Genomic DNA, 14,782 nt, shown 5'->3' on the forward strand with positions numbered 1-14,782 from the left:
ATACAATATGTCTACAAGTCACAACTGCAGGCAACTGCATCACTCACTGTGCTTCTGAAAACATACTGGAATTACTGCCACCTCCCTAAATTGTGATGGATTATATATTAGATGGGCATACTGGGTTTTCTGGTTCTGCATTTGCCATTAATTTTAAACTTGGGCATCTCTGGGACTTAGTTTCCCATCTGCTAAAATAATTACAAAAGTTCCTCCTGTGATTCTCTTTGTAAACATGAAAAGTAAGGCTGTAGAGACTCAAGACTCCAATTAGCAGTAAAGCCAAAATCATCAGTAGCCAGAACTCAATGTAGATTTCCTGTTATGCCTATCTGAAAGTTTGCCATACATAAGAAATATATATATTTGCTATACATACATTTTAGAAATATATTCTATTTTAGAAATTTTCTTAACTAAGAACTATAATGGTATATGTGTACACACATTGCTTCCATAATTGGATACTAGCATCTTTTCAGGTTGCCCAGAAGATGAGGAGACAATTTAGACAGAAATGTAAATCTGGATTCTGAAAAAAACATCAGAGTCTCACTGTCGGTCACATCAAGTATCTCTGAAAGGGGCAGGGAGGCAAACCAGATATGGCTTACAATGATCTTAACACTGCATATAACTTCTATACCACCCTATTCCCCATTTTATCAACAGAGAAAATAGCTCATACCCATCAAGGTATTTTATCATCATCCTTTATACAACTCCTCATCCTCTTCTAGTACTGAATCTTTTTAATGTTTTATTTTATCTTTTTTCATGGGGTTGGTGATGCTGGTAGTTGGAGGAAGAAGAGAAATTAAAATATTAAGAAGAAACAATCCACATTACCAATAATCCTGGTAATAGACTTTTTTAAAAACTGAGTACATTTAAAGTATTGGGAGTTGCTACCAAATGACAATGAATCAAAAATGAAAATAAAATACTTCTAATATGACAAAGAAAAAAAGATGGTCAACTTACAAATTTTCAAGAACAAAAGTATCTTATGAAACAAATACATTCAGAATGACTTTGAATTACAAACTTGGAGATACACAGTTACGTAAATATGTGTTTATAACCCCAATACATTCTCCAGGTAAACAAAAATATATTCCAGACACATTTACCTGCATATTAATGTAACATTCACCTTTCAATAATCTGATTCACTAACATAATGCACTAAAACAAGTCCTCCTCATGCTTCTCATGTTCAAGTCAAATACACTGCTTAAAACCACTAAGTTCTATAAATAACAAACATTTCAAAAAATATGTGTAGCAGAAATGTAGGTAAGCAAAGGCCAAAGTGCCCAGCACACAGTTTCCACTCAAATATTGGTTTGATGAATAAACAACAAAAGAAGAAAGAAAGAAAAGCAAAAAGGAGACACTAAAGTGAGAGCAGATGAGCTTGGAATCTATAGTGACTTGAGAACAACTGGAATTTGTAGGACTGCTGCTGCCGCCGCCGCCGCTGCTGCTGCTGTCATTGCTGTCTGCTGAGGATAACAGCATGCCACAAGTCTAGGGAGCCCCATCGAGGGCTCTGCTGCCAAACTCCTTCTACCACAGATGCTGGTTGTGAGGTTAGTAGCCTACCACCAAAATATGTCTCCATAAGGGAGTCACCCATCCAATTCTATACACCAGAAAAAAGATGAGTACAATTCTGCAAAGACCACTAGAATAATTGTATGGCCCTCTCATCGGTCACAGGAAAGAAGGGCTGTCTATCAAAAGACAATGTCTGTAGGTTAGATGTTAGAGGGCAAAAAAAACAGTAAATATGTATATAAGGGTAAGGAAAGAGGGAGACGTGGGGTTTCATTATAAACCTACACCATTACATTATTACTTAAAGTCAAAATAAATACTGCCTTTGTTTTCAACTATATCAGAAAGCATCTAAAATGTACTGAGTAAAAATTACTGGTAGAAAAAAGCATTAAATAATACTCATGGTGGAGAAGTGTTAACGGTATGAAAACACAATTCTGAAACTGCTAATAGGTAAGCCACGAAGAATAATCTCAAACAGATATAAGAACAATCTCAAAACAGATAAAGTCCCAAACTATCAAAATTTCACCTGAAGAGAGATGAATATAAAGCAAACAGAACACTTTACTGGCATAACTAAGATAGCACTCTTTTAGGATGAAGAGCAGTTTGGAAAACTCAGTATTAGCACCAAAACATCAAATGTAATTATAATTAATTATCGATCTGTAAAACATACTTTAGGTAATATATCTAATTGGGGGAACGAAACTGAGTACCATTTCTCCTGGGCAAGATAGGAAGCAAGTCTGAACTTGAAAAAAAGAAATAGCAAGGATCTTTGGTTACATACTGTAATTGTGACTTTTTGACATTTTAATTAGTACTAAAACAGTTCATTTTAATGGCTATTACCTTAAAGTTTAGTAAGAAATTCAAATATCTTTACGTAAAGTTGTTGTGGGTCAAAAGTAAGACAGTTTTTATTTAATTAAAATTTAAACCACTGGGAACAGTAATTTAAGGATTACATTTTTAGACTTGGGGAAACTTAGGAATTTTAAATACTATTTAAGCACTGTATCCACCTGTAATTTTCAAATCTTACGGTATTACTTTAAGTCTGCACAAAATTTGAACAGGTTTTACTTGGCTTCTTTCCAAACCATAGCACTTATGCTTTGGGGACTAAGGGAGAGTATAGCGTAAAGCACTTTAATTTCTTTAAGCAGAAAAATCTTTTACCTTGACCACATTTTCAAAAGTATATCCTTTCATGCACAAGAGTTTCTCAACTCATTTTTAAAAAAGAAAAAGAACTAAATTGTAAAACATGAAGTAAATGCAAAAATATTTTTCAAGCTTTCAAAATGAAGCTAGACTTTGTTCCTACTATTGTATTTAAAATCTTGAGACACTCAAACTGAAAGAACCAAAAAGCCATGAAAATACGAGAACTGATGCTTCCTATTCAGATTTTGCTTCTCGTATATTCTAATCACCTTAATAAACCAAAAACCAAACACATAAAGTAAATTTAGGTTTTTAAGTTAAAGTTTTACATCACAAACCAGGCTTTTCTGAGTTATCCAAAAAAATGTAAGTGAGCAATAATCTAAAGTTCATTGCCCTGATTATTTAGCAGTAAATCACTAAATGTGAACAGTTTTAACATTTTCAAAATACTACGTAACAAAAAGATGAGTATCAAGGGGAATTATATCATAATTCAGTGTACAGATTCTCTCTAGTTACCTGCATACATAATGCTTCTAAAACCAAGTATCTATTAAGTATTTTACTAAATATTTTAAATAGAACCAACTGCAATATGGGCCCCGAGGTTCTATAAACATGACACTAACATCATTATCAGGAGAACTTTCATGTATAAAAACAAACGTCAAAAACAACTTCTCTACCTGGATACTAAAGCAACAGCAATATCTGAAAAGTATTTTCAAGGAATCTGAACAATAAAGATGTCAAATAAAAAATATATACATATTAGTTTGTTCTTGATTTCTAGAGGTGTGTGTGCCACTTATGAGGACCCAAACATACAAATAATCAGAACACATTCAAAAGACACAACTTTCTTGTTTAACAGTTTCTTAAAATTGCAACTGACATCTATCTATAGAATCAAACTTCACCTCTCCTGTGAAGTCATCCCCGAAAGGAATTAGTGGCTGATAGCTGAGTGTTCGCATCATTTTTTCCTTCCGTAGTCTGGACTTATATCAATTCTGTTTTACAATTTTTTTATGTACACACTTGTCTCTCCCACTTAAAATCTTCTGAGGCAGTAAGCAGGATTTGGTGTCTTTGTATCTTTTTTACTTCCCACTCAAGTAATTTGCTGGCTAAATGCTGAAGTGAATTACAGTGGACTAATTTTTTTTTCTGGATATTTGAAACATTTTATTATACCTCCACACTTGACCACAACGATATGAGGTCACTAGGTAAACATGCTATTTTTCTGCAGTAAATTTCAAAACATGCCCCCAAACTGTCTACATATTATTTCTAACAGTTCTACCAAAAATATATCATTTTTAAAAATGCAACAAAAGAAAGAGAGTTTTGAAAAAATCTGTCAAACAGACCACAACGATCACTGACTAGTCATACAGATAGGGGGTAAGACAAAATAATAAGTAAACACATGTCTATTCACAAAATGTCCCCATCTGTCTAAAAAATATTAAAAGCTTTCTCTGTCCAAATTCAACTCTTCTCTGAGCTCTAAAGCAATACAAAGGCAAAATAGTAACCACAGACTAGGTTTCCAGCAGTTTTACCCTAGGTGTGGGCTGCAGGAAAGCTGAGAAGGAAGGTGAGATTTGAGGAAGCAAGTAACTAAGCAGAGATTTTCTCCAATGTAAAACATGACTAACTTGCACAGAGAGCACTGCAAATAACATCACCATACAAACTTATTCTCTCCAACCTCAGTCACACAAAAATAACCCTATGCTGGGAAAAACTACTCTAAATACATCAATATTTTAATTACAGTTTTGTCAATTCATATTTTAGCCTCTGAAAGGATTGATTCTACAACTCTGCTTTTCTTTTCAAAACTTAAACAAAATATGTTAACAGTCGACACTAGTATCTCTTACTCCAACACCAAATTTGATTAATACAAAAACAAATAATTTTCAAGTAACAATTTTCTCCTACTGAAAATGAAAAAAAAACAGATAAAAGCTATGTGTTTTATTTATCACTACATTGTGAACTATCACTTTAATAATTATACATGGTGCACACATGAATACTGTCTGAGTAAAAAGATATTATTTTAATTCCCCTAACTGAATTTTAGGAGTACAAGGCAGTCTTCATGCTTCGTTTTGAAATCAACCTATTTTGAAGGCTAAGGATCATCCTTTGTGTTGTAGTAAGCAAAATTAAAAATTGGCCACTCCAAATATGAAAATTATGGATTTGGCTCTGACGCAAAATAAAGTAAGCTTCCTATATCACCTGAAATAGTAAATCAATTTAGCCTGCTGAAAAGCAAGGCAGTGAGTTATTGAATCTGTGTTTAATTCAGTGCACTTTATAACATATTTAAGGAATTCAGTTGTATAAAACAGTATCTGAATCTTATAAGATGAAAATATTTCTCCCTTTTAGCAAGCCTTGGGTTGCACGTTTGAGAAAACAAATTAGTCTCCAGTTCTGCTAAGCTTGATAACAGTGCCCCCTAATGGGAATTTTAGTATGAGTTTTTCTACTCTTTTTTGTTTGAAAAAGCATATATTCTCTAATATGATCAAATTATTTCACTTTCAACTAGAAGGTAAATTCTGTAATATAAAAGTTTATGAAGACTGAATCCACTCAAAGGAGTTACCACATGTGCAAAAACAAATTGTGAATTAAGAGAGAGACAAGCAACAGAAAACTTATAATAACAGTTTTCTAGGTTTTGAATCATCCACTAGCATAATCTAACACAGAACAATACAAAACATTAATCTCATAAGGAAATTATCATTCTCGTTGTTTCTAGTACTCAAGTGAGCAATTAAAAAGATACTAGAGTCAGAAAAAATTGGTTCAGAAGTTATTCTATGTTGCACAGCTCCAAAGTATAAAGCTGAGATTTCCACCCAGGTTTTTTGGCCTCATACCATTATCTTTCCACAATGCCTAGTCACAGGTCAGCAACCATGAATTACAACTTAATATGTGTTTTCTTTTTAAATGAAAAAGGCACTAAAACTAAAGCAAAAACTACCTATTCTGATACTTCCTAGGTGTGCCAGTGAAACAAACATCCTATAGTGTATTTTCGTTTCAGTGCTCAAAATATATTCTGAGCTCCGTCAAGATTAAAGGTAACATCAAGAACAAATATCGCACAAAAAATTATCAATTTATGATGAAAGAGAGGATTTACTGCCTTATTCTTTAACTTTACAGGAGAGGGAGAACAATAAGACATGAAGTTACATAAATCACAGGTGGTCAAAATTTCTTTAAGGGTCAGACAGTAAATATTTCAGGCTTAGGACCCATATGGTCTCAGCCACAACTACTCAACTGTGCCACTGTAGCGGGAATGAAGCCATTAAAAAATATGTGAATGGGCATCACCGTGTCCCTACAAAACTTTATTTACAAATCAGATCATTGTTTGTCCATCTCTGATTTAAACCATTTATTAACATTTCACTTTTGGACAACAGATTAAAAATCTCCTCTTTACATGAGGCACCAAAACAAACAAACAAAACACCTGAAATATATACTCATTAAAATTATGAAATATTTGGTATATTACCTCCCCGAGGTGGATGGCACAAAAAAAGATCTTCCTCTGAATAACTGCTAGTTTTAGAGAGCACAAAACAATAGAAAAGCAGTAAGAAATGCAATGGGTCTTTACCATGATTTTTAAAAATCAACATACAGGACTATTCTAATATATATCCATATAACAGAAAATTATAGTTTTTATCTAAGTTTAATAAAAATCTACTGGTGACTACATTTTAATGCCCATTAATATAGAGTATATGGGTTAGCAAGGAGGTGAAAAACCTCTACGAGGAAAACTACAAAACACTGCTCAAAGAAAACATAGACTACACAAACAAATGGAAACACATGCCATGCTCATGTATGGGTAGAATCAATATTGTGAAAATGACCATACTGCCAAAAGCAATCTACAAATTCAATGCAATCCCCATCAAAATACCACCATCATTCTTCACAGAACTAGAAAAAACAATCCTAAAATTCATATGGAACCAAAAAAGAGCCTTCATGGCCAAAAGAAGACTAAAGCAAAAATAACAAACCTGGAGGAATCACATTACCTGACTTCAAACTACTGTGAGGCCATAGTCACCAAAACAGTATGGTACTGGTATAAAAACATGAATATAGACCAATGGAACAGAATAGAGAACCCAGAAATAATGCCAAATACTTAGAGTTAACTGACTTCGACAAAGCCAACAAAAACACAAAGTGGGGAAATGACACCCTATTCAACAAATGGTGCTGAGATAATTGGCAATCCACATGCAGAAGAATGAAACTGGATCCTCATCTCTCACCTTATACAAAAATCAACTCAAGATGGATCAGAGACTTAAATCTAAAACCTGAAACCATAAAAATTCTAGAAGCTAACATTGGAGAAGCCCTTCAATACAGTGGCTTAGGCATATTTCACGACAAGAACCCAAAAGAAAATGCAACAAAACCAAGATAAATTGATGGGACTTAATTAAACTAAAAAGCTTCTGCACAGCAAAAGAAATAATCAGCAGAGTAAACAGACAACCCAGAGTGGGAGAAAATCTTCACAATCTATATAACCGACAAAGGACTAATATCCAGAATCTACAACGAACTCAAACAAGTCAGCAAGAAAAAAACAATTGCATCAAAAAGTGGGCTAAGGACATGAAAGAGGATATACAAATGGCCAACAAACATATGAAAAAATGCTCAACATCACTAATTATCAGGGAAATGCAAATCAAAACCACAATGCAATACCACCTTACTCCTAGCTAAAACGTCCATAATAATAAAAAAAAAATTATAGATGTTGGCCTGGATGGGGTGAAAAGAAAACACTTTTGGTGGGAATGTAAACTAGTAGAATGACTATGGAAAACAGTGTGTGGTGACTGCTTAAAGAATTAAAAGTAGATCTACCATTTGATCCAGCAATTCCATTCCTGGGTATCTACCAAGAAGAAAAGAAGTCACTATACAACAAAGATACTTGTACATGTATGTTTATAGCAGCACAATTTGCAATTGCAAAAATATGGAACCAGCCCAAATGCTCATCAATCAATCAGTGGATAAAGAAAATGTGTTGCATATATATATATATTATGGAATATTATTCAGCCATAAAAAGTAACAAAATAATGGCATTTGCAGCAACCTGGATGGAATTAGAAATCATTATTCTAAGTGAAGTAACTCGGGAATGGAAAACCGAACATCATATGTTCTCATTCATAAGTGGGAGTGAAGCTATGAGGATGCAAAGGCATAAGACCGATACAATGGGCTTTGAGGAATTGGAGAAAGGGTCGGGGGCGGGGTGGTTAAGGGTTGAAAGACTACACACTGCATACAGTGTACACTGCTCAGGTGATGGGTGAACCAAAATCTCAGAAATCACCACTAAAAAACTCATTCATGTAACCAAACACCACCTGTTCCCCAAAAACCTATTGAAATAAAATATATATATATTAAAATTAATAATAAAACCTGCTTCCCCCAAAAAAGAAAAAGTTAGGTGTTACATTGTATTGAAAATGCTAATTGTGATAAAAACACAAAAGAATAAAGAAAAATTACTACGGTGGGAAAGAAAATGAAGACAGAAATAATTATGTCCAGTATCTGTATATCTAGAAATACGTGAATAGTACATTCGAGGCCAGGAGGAATGAGCCTTAGTTTAATAACTGACCATTGGATCACATCACAATTCACTGTCTTTGTGAGGACAACGGATTGAGAAACAGCACTTGGCAAGTTTGTAATCTTCTCTCAAATCAGAGTTGGGTGAAATATCAACTGCATAATAATGGGCCCTTTAATTCTGAATAAAAGACAGTTACTAACTTTGCATTTTTTCAGAGCTACAGTTAGAATGGAAACTGTGGCTATCACCATCAAGCCTGTCATCTCACCAACTTCTTAGAGAAACTATGGCAAGGCTCTGGAAGACAGAAAAAGTAAATGTTTATAGGGAATGAATAATCTGAGATGAAAAAGAAAGAGTGGAAAGGATAGAAGTAGGGAAACTTAAATGGAGAGAATGTAATATGGGAAAATGTTTGAATGGAAAGCATAGTCATCCAGGAAAAAGGCCAGATAGAGGACAGCACACAAATAAAAAAGAGGGAATGTTACCATCACCAAGAACACAGTCATTCTAAAGGGTTGAGGAGTAAATGGTTGTCAGAAAATTTATGAATATTTTTAAAATTCTCATGAAAAATAAAATGGAGAGATCAATGCAAATATTTTTAAAAAAAGAATATATGGGTTAGGTGAAAGAACCTAAAATTTAAATCTATCACATGAGGTTATGAAAAACTAAAGAAGACTGTTGTCTTAGATTTTTCACATGTATAAGAAAATGACAATTCCGATTAATTTCTAAAGGCAGACCAAGAAAAACTTATTTACTTGTTTTACACAAAAAGCGGATTTCAGATACGGAATAATGACCTACACTCAACATCCTTTAACCTCTGGCATACACTTCACTAAGAGTCTAAGAGTCTATTATAGTAGAAAAACCATGGTATTTGGAATCCAGCCAGCTACCAGTTTCAGTCCCTGTATTACCAATTCCTAGTTAAATGATTTCTGATAAGTTATTTATGTCACTAAACATCAGTATCCTAATTCTGGAAAATGAGACTGAAAAGACCTTCAACTGTGCAGATTAACAACTAATCATAGGCAATTTATATAAGTACACAGAATACAATGCCTATTTTTATTATTTAATGCTAAACTTAAGTCTCTATCTCAGGACTGTTAAAATATATTTTAATATTTACAATTGTTTGATTTAAATTTAAAATTTTTTTAAATTGAAATTTTAAAAACTTCAATTGTTGTAATGTTTTTAAATTTAAATTTTTACATTGAAAAAATATTAAATGTTTTCATTTAAATGTTTAACATGCATGTTCATGCTCATTTTCTCTCTTGCCTGCCACCATCTAAGACATGTCTTTTGCCTTCTGCCATGACTGTGAAGCCTCCCCATCCACGTAGAACTGTGAATCCATTAAATCTCTTTTTCTTCAAAAATTGCCATGTCTCAGGTATGTCTTTATCAGTGGCGTGAAAATGGACTAATACAGTAAATTGGTACCAAGAGTTGGGTGCTGCTGTAAATACCCGAAAATGTGGAAGTGACTTTGGAAGTGGATAACAGGCAGAGGCTGAAACAGTTGGGAGGGCTCAGAAGACAGAAAAACTGTAGGAAAGTTTGGAACTTCCCAGAGACTTGTTGAATGGTTTTGACCAAAATGCATAACGAAAATCCAGGCTGAGGTGATCTCAGAGGAACTTGTTGGGAACTGTAATAAAAATGACTCTTGCTATGTTTTAGCAAAGAGACTGCTAAATGATTTGTGGAACTCTGAACTTGAGAGAGATGATTTAGGGTATCTGGTGGAAAAAATTTCTAAGCAGCACAGCATTCAAGAGGTGACTTGGGTGCTGTTAAAATCATTCAGTTTTAAAAGGGAAACAGAGTATAAAAGTTTGGAAAATTTGCAGCCTAACAATGCGATAGAAAAGAAAAGCCCATTTTCTGAGGAGAAATTCAAGCAGAAATTTGCATAATGAGGAGCCAAATGTGCATCTCCAAGACAATGGGAAAAATGTCTCCAGGGCACGTCGGAGACCTTCACAGCAGCAGCTCCCACCACAGGCCTAGAGGCCTAGGAGGAAAAAATGGTTTTGTGGGCCCTTCTGCTGTGTGTAGCCTAGGGACTTGGTGGCCTACCTCCTAGCCACTCTAGCCATGGCTAAAAGGAGCCAAGATACAGCTTGGGCTGTGGTTTCAGAGGGCGCAAGTCCCAAGCCTTGGCAGCTTCCACGTGGTGTTGAGCCTGCTGGTGCCCAGAAGTCAAGAATTGAGGTTTGGGAACCTCCGCCTAAATTTCAGAGGATGTACGGAAATGCCTGCACATCAGGCAGAAGTTTGCTGCAGGGGCAGGGCCCTCATGTAGAACCTCTGCTAGGGCAGTGCAGAAGGGAAATGTGGGGTTGAAGCCCCCACACAGAGTCCCCACTGGGGCACTGCCTAGTGGAGCTGTGAGAAGACGGCCACCGTCCTCCAGACCCCAGAATGGTAGATCCACCAACAGCTTGCACCATGCACCTGGAAAAGCCGCAGACACTCAATGCCAGCCCATGAAAGCAGCCAGGAGGGAGGTTGTACCCTGCAATGCCACAGGGGCAGAGCTGCCCAAAGCCACAGGGACAGAGCTGCCCACTTCTTGCATTAGCTTGACCTGAATGTGAGACATGGAGTCAAAGGAGATCACTTTTGGAGTTTTAAGATCTGACTGCCCCACTGGATTTCAAGACTTGCCTGGGGCCTTCAGCCCCTTCATTTTGGCTCATTCTCCCATTTGAAATAGGTGGATTTATCCAATGCCTGTACCCCCATCATATCTAGGAAGTAACTAACTTGCTTTTGATTTTACACGATCACAGGTAGAAGGAACTTGCCTTGTTTCAGATGAGACTTTTGACTGTGGACTTTTGAGTTAATGCTGAACTGAGTTAAGACTTCGGGGCACAGTTGGGAAGGCATGATTGGTTTTGAAATGTGGGGACATGAGATTTGGGAAGAGCCAGGGTGGAATGATATGGTTTGGCTGTGTTGCCACCCAAATCTCATCTTGAATTGTGGCTCCCATAATTCCCACATGTTGTGGGAGGGACTCAGTGGAAGATAACTGAATCACGGGAGCAGTTGCCCCCATACTGTTCTTGTGGTAATTAATAAGCCTCACGAGATCTGATGATTTTATAAGGGGAAACCCCCTTCACTTGGTTCTCATTTTCTTTCTTGCCTGCCACCAAGTAAGACGTGCCTTTCACCTTCCACCATGATTGTGAGGCCTTCCCAGCCATGTGGAACTGTGAATCCATTAAACCTTTTTCTTTGTAAGTTAGCCAGTGTGGGGTATGTCTTTATCAGCAGCATGAAAATGGACTAACACAAATAACATACACTTGTGTCCTTGCTAGCTAACTTAATTTTACCAATAAAGCTGAAGTCTTCTGTGTCCCCTCTATACCTCCCCTTCCAGACGTAACTATTACCCTGAATTTGGTGTTTATTATTCTCATGCATGTTTATACTCTTACTACATATGTATGTATCTTTTATCAGTATGTAGTATTATATTTTTTTAAATTTCACACAAATAGCAGCATGTAGTGCTTATTCTGCAGCTTGCTTTTTCTCTAACCCAAGTGAAGAAGCAGAGAAAACTGGCAGGAAAACCAAAGAATTGAGGTTTTGTTTTTCTTATCAGTTAAAGGTCCTAAATGATCATTTTTTTTAAAAAATCTACTCTCGCGAAGTCTACCTATGTAAATCCAAACACACAGTTATTCTTCTGTTCTCAGTTTTCCAATCTGTAAAATTAGGATAATAATCTGTGCTTCTTATTCCATGTGAAACTTTTGAAATAAACATTCTTTTAAAACTTTGAAAATAAAGAGCTTGTAGAAATTTAAAAAATAAAGTACATGTTCGTGAAATAAAACATTGGTCAATTCAAGTACTTCAAGCTCGTAAAAGAAGTTAGCTTCCAATGATCTAGAATTAGTAATATATTTTGTTTCGTTCGCCTACCATAATTGCAATGAATATTATTTCTTCATATTCTAAACCAAGAATATGATTTAAAAAATTAATTACCTGAGAAAACTGTGTGACAGTGTTAACTGTTCTGGAATAGATTCTACTTCCAACTGTGCCACCAACCCAGTAACCAAACAAAAAACTTAAACCTCTCAAGCTCCTCACTTGTAAACCAAAGAAACTGCATTAACAATCTCTTCTTTTCCAGACCTAAACTAGTGATTATTTAAATATAATTAAGTACCCCCACATATGTGCATGTATAGAGAAACAGAGGTATTCTAATACTGCCAGAAAGAACTACAGAGAAATCTCAACCTTAATTCTGTGGGAGGTAATTCAAATGAAATAGGGAGAGCATAGCCAGGTTAAAAAAAAAAGATGCACACTGCATAAGGGTTTAAAAAAATCCAAGTATGCTAGTGTTCAGGTGCCTAGAACAAAAGTAGCCCTGGTTAGTTTCTAGAGGAATTACTTTAATGAAAACCTGCTTTGCAGACAAACTGCAAGGTATTTCACTTTAGCAAGCATATACTTTGTGTTTATTATATGCTCAAGGTACTATGAAGGTGTGTAAGTCAAATGAAGCAAGTAACATTCTATCAAAGTTAATGTGATCAGTTAAAAGTCATATCAAAAATGACAAAAAGGAAATTAAGAAAAATCCAATTTACAATAGCATCACAAAGAATAAAATACTTAGGAATACACTTAACCAAAGAGGCAAAACACTCGTAAACTGAAACTACAAAACGCTGCTAAAAGATGATGTATATAAATGGAAAGAAAAGCCATGTTCAGAGGTTAGACTTCATCTTATTATGTTGTCAATACTACTCAAAGACAGATTCAATGCAATACCTATCAAAATCACAATGACATTTTTTGTAGAAATAGAAAAATCTATTCTAAAATTCATATGGAATCTCAAAGGACCCTGAATAGGCAAAACAATCTCAAATGAGATGAACAAAATTTCTGACTTCAAAACCTATTACAAAGCTGGAGTAATCCAAAAAGTGTACTTCTGACATTAAGACAGACATACAGACCAGTGGAATAAAACAAAGAGCCCAGAAATAAACCCTGGCATATATGGTGTCAAGTGATCTTTAACGAGGGTGCCAAGATGGGACCCTCAATGGGAAAGGACAGTCTCTTCAACAGATGGTGCTAGGAAAACTGGATATCCACATGCCAAAGAACGAAGCTGGACCCTTACCTTGTATACAGCACAAAGATTAATTCAAAATGGATTAAAGACCTAAACATAAGACCTGAAACTTCCTACCAAAAAACAGAGGAAAAAAGCTTCATGACATTGGATTTGGCACTGATATCTTCAATACAATACCAAAAGCACAGGCAACAAAAGCAAGAACAGACAAATGGGAGTATATCAAATGTAAAAACTCCTGCCCAGCAAAGGAAACAATCAACCTAGTAAAAAGGCAACTTACAAAATGGGAGAAAATACATATTGCAAACCCCATATCTGATAAGAGGTTAATATCCATAACTCCTTCAACTCAACAGGAAAAAAAAAGCCTCCAATTTTAAAATAAGCAAAGGACTTGAATAGACATTTTTTCAAAGATATACAAATCACCAACAAGCATATGAAAAGATGCTCAACATCAGTAATCATCAGAAGTGCAATTCAAAACCACAATGAGATGATCACCTCACATCTGTTAAAATGGCCATTATCAAACACACAGAAAATAACAAGTGTTGACAAGCATATTAAGAAATTGGAACCCTTGTGCAAGGTTGGAAATGTAAAATGGTGCAGCTGCTATTAAAAAAAACATACAGAAGTTCCTCAAAAAATTAAAAATAGAATTACCATGTAATACCACTTCTGGGTACATATCCAAAAGAAAATGGAAACAGGATTTTGAAGAGATATTTGCACACCCATGTTCACTGCAGCATTATTCACAATAGCCAACAGGTGGGAGCAACCTAAACTTCCATCGCCAGATGGCTGGATAAGGAAAATGTGGTATATACAGATGATGAATTATTATTCAGCCTTAAGAAAAAAGAAGAAAATCCTGTCATTGCTACAACATGGATGAACTTTTAGGACATTATGCTAAATAACATAAGTCACTCACAAAATAATAAATGCCACATGATTCCACTAACATGAGGTATCTGTAGTCAGACTCTTGGAAACACAAAGTAGAATGGTGGTTGCGGGGATGAAAGAGGTGGAAAAAGGGATTGTTCGATGGATACAGAGTTTGAGCTTTGCAAGATGAAATAGTTCTAGAAACCTACTGCACAATATGCATACACTTAACACTACTGTAATGTATACTTAAAATTTTTATGTGCTTTTTACAA

General features: G+C 35.3%; 1 protein-coding gene across 8 annotated transcripts in view; it reads right to left on the reverse strand.

Moving 5' to 3' along the window:
• Positions 1–14,782, reverse strand: part of EIF3H (eukaryotic translation initiation factor 3 subunit H) — a 124,245-nt gene that overhangs the window by 68,503 nt on the left and 40,960 nt on the right. The gene's annotated exons all lie outside the window — the stretch shown is intronic.

This window comes from Homo sapiens, chromosome 8, assembly GCF_000001405.40.
Source record: "Homo sapiens chromosome 8, GRCh38.p14 Primary Assembly".
Lineage (NCBI taxonomy): Eukaryota > Metazoa > Chordata > Mammalia > Primates > Hominidae > Homo > Homo sapiens.